This window comes from Homo sapiens, chromosome 4, assembly GCF_000001405.40.
Source record: "Homo sapiens chromosome 4, GRCh38.p14 Primary Assembly".
Taxonomy (NCBI): domain Eukaryota; kingdom Metazoa; phylum Chordata; class Mammalia; order Primates; family Hominidae; genus Homo; species Homo sapiens.
Window position 1 is genome coordinate 131,791,483 of NC_000004.12, and position 3,355 is coordinate 131,794,837.

Consider the following 3,355-nt stretch of genomic DNA (forward strand, 5'->3'; position numbering starts at 1 on the left):
AAAAATTGAATGTTTTTACTTGTAAGTTATTCTTTCAATAATAATAAAGAGATGATCACTAGTCATTTTATTTTTCATAGTTGAATTGATTCAGTTGAGCTTCATTGGGTGTTCTTATGTTTTAGTCATGAGTTCATTCTCTTTAACAAGCTAAAGGAAACCATATTATATGCTAAAAGATGTCAGTTTGTGAACAATTTAATGAATATACAGAGTTAAAACATTTTTCCCGATTGGATGTTGGGGTTTGCTATAATTCTTTGTTACTTTATATGTGAATATACTCACTACTGACTATGTTTATGTATGTAGGAAACATGCTAGTGATGAAAATTCAAGCAGTTATTACCCTGGTTTTCTTTCATTAACAAAATACAGAAGAGAAATTATCTACTTATTCTTGGAGGTCTTAAAATATCTTTTCAGTTGACTGATGATTCTGCTATCAAGAGCTACAAGTAGGTGCTCTGGCCGTCTATATCTGTATTTCCATATATTCAATTCCTTATTATATATTTCTCATTTGATATTCTATACCCAATTCAAACAAAACCATTTCATGTATACAATGTACTTTTATTTACGCTTTTCTCTATCATTAAGTAGAAAGCCATTTGCACCTTAGTCTAAATCTGAAATGTGCCTCTACCTAACCTTTCTAATACATTTTCACTATTTCTTAGTTATTAGAATAAATTTGCATAATTTCTGAAACAACTTTCTCTATGGAGTATTCCCTTTAGTTTCTTTTCCCTTCCAAACAATTTAATGAATTACAAATATGGGGGAGATATTTTTTCAATGGGTAAGACTTGACTTCTACAAATACATGTTTAATTCCTTCTCAAAATTATTTCTACTTCCTCTTATTCAACACTGTGCTAGATTTTAGGGATATATAATAAGACAATATATGAGGTCCTTGCTGTCGTGAAAGGTACATTCTTATCTTTGGCAAATTGTAGAATCTTTAGTTTTGGTGTGCAAGGGCATTGGTGTTTGGTACATGCTTGGCTCTTTGCCTTAAGAATTGCCTCTTTCCACCATGCATATTTCACCTGTGTGGGAATCCTTGCAGATCTCTATATTATTGATAGTCATTTTGCTCCGACATTTTGTACAAAGCTGAATCAGCAACAGTATGACTAAACACAACCAAAAAAGAAAGCTAGAAAGATTATATTAGACACTTACGTGTATGGATCATTATGGTGAGGACTGCTAAAAAAAAAAAAAAAAAAACACCTTCAGCCAAAATAAATTTACAGTTTAATTGAGTAATGAATGATTCATAAATTGGAAAGCCCCCACAATCACAGCAGATTCAGAGAGACTCCAGCGGTGTCTCATGGTCAGAATGAATTTATAGACAATACAAAGTAAAGTGACGTATAGAAATCAGAAGTGAGGTACAGAAACAGCTGGATTGATTACGGCTTGGCACTTGCCTTATTTGAACACTCAGCTGTATGCGACTAGTTGAAGTATGGCTGCTGGACTTGGCCAAGACTCAGCGATTGTTACAGGCGCATACTCCTAAGTTAGGTTTTAGTCTTGTGTACCTATTGAGTTAGGTTGCAGTTCATTCACAAGGACTGAAATACAGAAGTATGGCGTTTTTCTCAGGCCATATTTAATTTGATTTAACAGGACTTTGGGTATGTCATTGTATTTTACTAATATATTTTACAAACACCCCATGTTATCTTAATCTATTTAAGTTCACACTTTTTAATGAAATTTTACTTTAAATGTATCTAACCTCCTAAATTTCTGCCTTTATGAACCAATAATACTTTTTCCAAATTCTTATTATAGCACATATCAGACTATATAGCTATAGACACTTTGGCATCATTGTTTTCCCATACAAAACACAATACATTTAATGAATTAATGAATGATGCATCAGCAAAGAAGCTTTTACTGAAAGTAAGAAAAATTATAAGCCAGTTTGGGTTTCCCAAGAATCAGACACCAAGATGGAATTACACATATAATACAGTAACCAGAGAAAACGCCTTTGAAGAATAAAGAGAAGATAGAGCAAAAGGAGGCTGCAAGAGCCTCCAGATCATGATGCAAGCCTGGCACCTCAAAAGAAGAGAGAGCATGAAAGATAATTGGAAAGGAGGAGCCTCAGAGAAGAGTGCAGATCTGAGAAATTGTCAGTGAAAGAGCACCAAAGTGAATTTTGACCTTTAGATGAGTCCACGTGGGACAAGAATGAAAAGCCCTGTAATATCTTCCTTGCTCAGCATTGGCAGGGAGCAACCTAAGGAGAGCATGGCACCTGCATGTAAACCAAAAATAAAATTCAATGTCCGTTAACCAACTAAATGGGCCCTTTATCTTGGCCAAGGGCATTTTAAACTAAACCTGAAACAGTAATGGAGGCCATGATGGAAATGGGTGGTTGAACATGCCTCGTTATTTACTTTCATCCTTTCGGAATTCATGCATAGCTGAACAGTGTTAACATTAAAGTAGAGACTTAAGAATGACAAAACAGACTCTTCGTAGCAATAAGATATCAACATGACAGATAGCAGGCCTTGAAAGAAAAAGTATTTCACCAAAAAAATACATTTCTTTGACATATTTTGAAATGGCCCTACAAAGCTGTTTCTGTGGGGAAAATCTCCATTTTGTAGAGAATCCCGTTGTCTTTCCAAGTCTTTTTCCTGATTTTTCCTGATTCCAAGTCCTTTTTCCTTTTTATGTCTGATAAAAATCATTTACAATCTATTCTCAGTGAAGCCTGCTACCTGCAAGCTTCATCTGCATAAGAACCTCGGTCTCTAAAACACCTTATCTTAACCCGTACACTCCTGTCTATTGATTCCGGTCTTTAGATAAATTATTTTAGCCAGTTCTCAAATGCCAATCAGAAAATCTTCGAATTCACCTTTAACCTGGAAGCCTTCACCCACCCCACCCCCACCTGCTTTGAGTTGTCTCACCTTTCCCGATTTTACCAATGTATATCTTAGGCGTACTGATTGATGTCTTATGTCTCCCTCACATGTATAAATCCAAGCTGTAGCCCAACAACCTTGACACATGTTCTCAGGATCTCCTGGGCTGTGTGACAGGCCGAGGTCACTCATATTTGCCTCAGAATAAATCTCTTCAAATATTTCACGGTTTGACTCTTTTCTTCAACATGCATTATCACTGTAGTAGCTCTGAAGTGGTTGAGTTGGAGGTAACCCACCAACAACCCTCCTCATGGAAATTTCTCTTGAATGAAAATATGGGAGGAGTAAATTCTTCACTGCCAAATACTATTTCAAATTCTTTCAAGCATAAGGTACATTCATTATTTAACCTAAAAGTCAATCAAGAGGTAAAA